Raw genomic sequence first — 3,714 nt, forward strand, 5'->3', positions numbered from 1 at the left:
TCCAATCTCATTTAGTTTAAAGTACTCAACATGCCAAAGCACCATACTTTTGTCATAACCCAATGGGTTCTTCTTGCCCATTGCCCAGAAAAGCCAATGTACTGAGAACAGCAGGTATTGCAGCAAACAAAAAGTTTAATGATCACAAGACCAGCCAAGCAGATGGATGGGAGGTATTTCTCAAATCTGCTTTCCCAAGAATTTGGAGGCTAGGGTGTTTAAGGGTACTTTGGTGGGCAAGTGGCTGGGGAACAGAAAAAACTGATTGGCTGTGGATGAAATGACAGGGGTGTTCAAACTGTCTTCAAGCAGCTGAGTCACTTCCAGGGAGGGGGGTCTCAGGATGAGGTGTTGTCCCTTGGTCTACCAAAATGCTAAATCTGAAAAATACCTCAAAGACCAGCTCTTTAGATTTCACAATAGTGATGTTATCTACAGGAATAGTTGGGGAAGTTATAAATCTTGTGACCTCCAGTTACATGACTGAGACAGATAAGCAACTTATAGAAAAGAAAGCTAAACAATGGCAGGTTATTGTTTAACTATGCTTATTCTTTAGCAAAGGTCGAGCTCCTACCATGATTCTAAACTTGAATGCAGCTTCAATCTCCAAACAAGGAAGCAAGCCAGTTTTCCTTGCCTCAAAGTGTATAGTTTATAAACTAAATTTAACTTATAAACTAAATTCATCTTATAGTTATCTTGGCCTCCACACTAGCCATGGCTAGAGCTGGAGCAGCTGGGAACACAGGGTGCTATGTCCCAAGGATGCACAGAGCAGCAGGGCCCTGGCCCTGGCCCATGAAATCATTTTTCCCTCCTAGGCCTCAGGGCCTGTGGTGACAGGGGCTACTGTAAAGGTCTCTGAAATGCCCTGGGGGCATTTTCCCTATTGTCTTGGCTATTAATATTTGGTTCTTCTATACTTATGCAGATTTCTGCCGTCTTGAATTCCTTTCCAGAAAATGGGTTTTTCTTTTCTACTCCATGATCAGACTGCAAATTTTCCAATCTTTTATGCTCTGTTTCCCTTTAAAATATAAGTTCTAGGTTCAGGTCTTTTTTTGTTTACACAAATGAGCATCAGCTTTTAGAAGCAGACAGGCCAAATCTTGAACACTTTGATGCTTAGAAATTTCTCTTCCTGATACCCTAAATCATCTCTCTCAAGTTCAAAGTTCCACAGGTCTCTAGAGAAGGGGCACAGTGCTGCCAGTCTCTTTGCTAAAACATAGCAAGAGTGACCTTTATTGCAGTTCCCCAAAAGTTCCTCATCTCCATCTGAGACCACCTCAGCCTGGACCTCACTGTCCGTATCACTATTAGCATTTTGGTCAGAACTATTCAACAAGTCTCTAGGAAGTTCCAAACTTTCTCCATCTTCTTGTCTTCTTCTGATCCCTCCAAACTGCTCTAACCTCTGCCCATTACCCAGTTCCAAAGTAGCTTCCACATTTTCGGGTATCTTTATAGTAACGCCTAACTTGTTTGATATCAATTTTCTGTATTAGTTCGTTCTCACACTGCTATAAAGAACTACCTGGTACTGGGTAATTTATAGAGAAAAGAGGTTTAATTGACTCAGAGTTCTGCAGGCTATACAGGAGGCATGGCTGGGGAGGCCTTAGGAAACTTACCATCATGGTGAAATGGCAAAGAGGAAGCAAACACATCTTCACATGGTGGCAGAAGAGACAGTGAGTGAAGGGGGAAGTGCTACACCCTTTTAAAAAACCAGATCTTGTGAGAATTCACTTATTATCATGAGAACAGAAAGGGGGAAATCCACCCCCATGATCCAATCATCTGCCACCAGGTCCCTCCCCCAACATTGGGAATTACAATTTGACATGAGATTTGGATGGGTACACAGAGCCAAACCATATCAACCACCCATATAAAAAAGATATTCTTCAAAGGTGGGGGTGGGGAAGAGAAGTGGATATGAGAATTTGGGCAAAGTTCCTGAAGGTAACTCTGACACACTGCTTTTTGGAGAACCTCAGATATAATCTGTTCCTTCTTCATCTGCTTTGCTGGTTTTGCTCATTATTCGGTCAGAATATACTAGACTATTTTTCAATAACAAATGCTCCTCAACTTATGATGGGGTTACATCCCTAAAAACCCATTGTAGGTTGAAAATATCATACATTGAAAATGCATTTAATATATCTAACCTAACAGACATCATAGCTTAGCCTAGCCTACCTTTAATGTGCTCAGAATACATATGGTAGCCTATAATTGGGCAAAATCATCTAACACAAAGCCTAATTTATAATAAAGTATTAAATATCTCATATAAATTATTGACTACTGTACTGAAAGTGAAAAACAGAATGGTTGTATGGGTACTTGAAGTATGATTTCCACTGAAAGTATATTGCTTTCACTCCATCATAACATTGAAAACAGGTAAGTTGAACCATTGTTAAATTGGGGTCAGTCTGCAAAATGGAAACCTCCACATTTTAGAGGCTCAATACAACAAAGCCTTATTTCTTATTTATATCACAATTCAATGAAGGCTAGGCTTTACCATTAGACCAATTTCCATCAGTGTTTTGGGTTTGATTTTTGCCAGGAAGCCATTCGTTAATTTTATCATCATGTGCCACCTGGAGAGGCTAGACGATTTTATGGCCAGCAAGCCCTTGTTTCTTTGTATTTAATAATTCTTCCTTTATCTTATCTCTCTCCTCTCCCATTTTACTGTAAGCAGCAAGAAGAAACCAAGTGACACCTTCAGTACTCTATCTGGAAATCTACTGAGCTAGATTAGATTATCCCATTCATTTGGGCACATTTTCTACATTCACATTGGGCACATTTTCTATGTTCCTAAACTTTCTGCCTTATCAAAAATCTTCTTTCCTCTACTTCCAAATAACATTTTCCTCACATTCCTTTAAGCCCTTGCCTGTAGCCTCCTTACCAGTTTCTTTAAAGATCCTCAGTCTTTTACTAGCTCTTTCCTTAAAGTTCTTCCATCTCCCACTTTCTGCCTGGTTCAAAAGCCACTCCCACATTTAACAATTTTCTTAAAGCAGGACCTTACTTCTAGTTACCAAAATCTGTATCGATTTTTTTTTTCGTACAGGCTGGAGTGCAATGGCTTGATCTCAGCTCACTGCAACCTCTGCCTCCTGGGTTCAAGCGATTCTCCTGCTTCAGCCTCTCGAATAGCTGCGATTACAGGTGGCTGCCACCACGCCTGGCTAATTTTTTGCATTTCTAGTAGAGACGGGATTTCACCATGTTGGCCAGGCTAGACTTGAACCCCTGACCTCGTGATCTGCCCTCCTTGGCCTCCCAAAGTGCTGAGACTACAGGCGTGAGCCACTGTGCCTGGCCCTGTATTGATTTTTTATTGTTGCATAATTACCTGAAAACTTAAACCAGCAATAGGTAGTTCCTGTCGGTCCAGAATTTGGGAGTGGCTGTTTTGGTTTAAAGTATCTCATGAGGTTTTAATCACAATGTTGGCCCATTCGATAATCATCTGAAGGCTTGGTCGGGTTAGATAATTCACTTCCATTTAATGTGGATCACTCATTTGTCTGGCAAGTCATCTTTATTGTCAGCAAGAGACTGTAGTTTATTGTCACATGGTCTGCTTTGTACAATATATTGAGTGTCTTCACAAAATGGAAGCTGGCACATAAAGGAATATTCCCACAGAACAAGTGATGTCAGAGAGTAAGGTGGATA

General features: G+C 40.7%; 1 annotated feature.

The window, feature by feature from the left end:
* Positions 281–451: a silencer, noted in NCBI's record as "fragment chr12:33467193-33467363 (GRCh37/hg19 assembly coordinates)". NCBI's record gives its function as "represses an EF-1alpha promoter that drives an FKBP-Casp9 reporter gene in an ReSE screen in phorbol 12-myristate 13-acetate-treated (for megakaryocytic differentiation) K562 erythroleukemia cells {active_cell/tissue: K562(+PMA)}" and the evidence as "EXISTENCE:reporter gene assay evidence [ECO:0000049][PMID:32094911]".

Source organism: Homo sapiens, chromosome 12 (assembly GCF_000001405.40).
Source record: "Homo sapiens chromosome 12, GRCh38.p14 Primary Assembly".
NCBI lineage: Eukaryota > Metazoa > Chordata > Mammalia > Primates > Hominidae > Homo > Homo sapiens.